This window comes from Homo sapiens, chromosome X (assembly GCF_000001405.40).
Source record: "Homo sapiens chromosome X, GRCh38.p14 Primary Assembly".
Lineage (NCBI taxonomy): Eukaryota > Metazoa > Chordata > Mammalia > Primates > Hominidae > Homo > Homo sapiens.
The window spans coordinates 13,678,800-13,680,541 of record NC_000023.11 but is presented as its reverse complement, the minus strand read 5'-3'; positions in this window follow the sequence as shown (position 1 = coordinate 13,680,541).

Sequence of the window (1,742 nt, the reverse complement as noted above, 5' to 3'; positions counted from 1 at the left end):
CTGACGAACCTGAGCTAATGGATCAGCTTCTGTCTGATATATTGCAGGTATCACTGGTTGAGAGAAAAGAGACCAAAAATAAAACCCCTGCTGGCTCTTGAAGCTTCCACACAGAAGTGATGTTCATCATCTCCCCTCATATGATGTTCACCAAAGCAAGTCACACATCGTGATGTATAATCTTCCTAAAGAGAGGGACATTGCAAATCACATGGAAAAGCCTGATCTGAGTGATGTGGTATCCTACAATGGTCCCACCGGGAGGGTCATCAAATATTTGAACAAGAATACAATCTAACACAGACTGTTATGACTCAGGGCTTTTTTTTTTAAATTATACTTTAAGTTCTAGGGTACATGTGCACAACACGCAGGTTTGTTACATACGTATACATGTGCCATGTTGGTGTGCTGCACCCATTAACTCTTCATTTACATTAGGTATATCTCCTAATGCTATCGCTCCCCACTCTCCCCACCCCATGACAGGCCCTGGTGTATGATGTTCCCCAACCTCTGTCCAAGTGTTCTCATTGTTCAATTCCCACCTATGAGTGAGAACATGCGGTGTTTGGTTTTCTGTCCTTGTGATAGTTGGCTCAGAATGATGGTTTCCAGCTTCATCCATGTCCCTACAAAGGACATGAACGCATCCTTTTTCATGGCTGCATAGTATTCCATGGTGTATATGTGCGACATTTTCTTAATCTAGTCTATCATTGATGGACATTTGGGTTGGTTCCAAGTCTTTGCTATTGTGAATAGTGCTGCAATAAATATACATGTGCATGTGTCTTTATAGCAGCATGATTTATACTCCTGTGGGTATATACCCAGTAATGGGATGGCTGGGTCTAATGGTATTTCTAGTTCTAGATCCTTGAGGAATTGCCACACTGTCTTCCACAATGGTTGAACTACTTTACAGTCCTACCAACAGTGTAAAAGTGTTCCTATTTCTCCACATCCTCTCCAGTACCTGTGGTTTCCTGACTTTTTAATGACCGCCATTCTAACTGGTGTGAGATGGTATCTCGTTGTGGTTTTAATTTGCATTTCTCTGATGGCCAGTGATGATACACATTTTGTCATGTGTCTGTTGGCTGCATAAATGTCTTCTTTTGAGAAGTGTCTGTTCATATCCTTTGCCCACTTTTTGATGGGATTGTTTGATTTTTTCTTGTAAATTTGTTTAAGTTCTTTGTAGATTCTGGATGTTGGCCCTTTGTCAGATGGGTAGATTGGAAAAATTTTCTCCCATTCTGTAGGTTGCCTGTTCACTCTGATGGTAGTTTCTTTTGCTGTGCAGAAGCTCTTTAGTTTAATTAGATCCCATTTGTCAATTTTGGCTTTTGTTGCCATTGCTTTTGGTGTTTTAGACATGAAGTCCTTGCCTATGTCCTGAATGGTATTGCCTAGGTTTTCTTCTAGGGTTTTTATGGTTTTAGGTCTAACATTTAAGCCTTTAATCCATCTTGAATTAATTTTGTATAAGGTGTAAGGAAGGGATCCAGTTTCAGGTTTCTACATATGGCTAGCCCGTTTTCCCAGCACCATTTATTAAATAGGGAATCCTTTCCCCATTTCTCGTTTTTGTCAGGTTTGTCAAAGACCGGATGGTTGTAGATGTGTGGTATTATTTCTGAGGGCTCTGTCCTGTTCCATTGGTCTATAACTCTGTTTTGGTACCAGTACCATGCTGTTTTGGTCACTGTAGCCTTGTAATATAGTTTGAAGTCAGG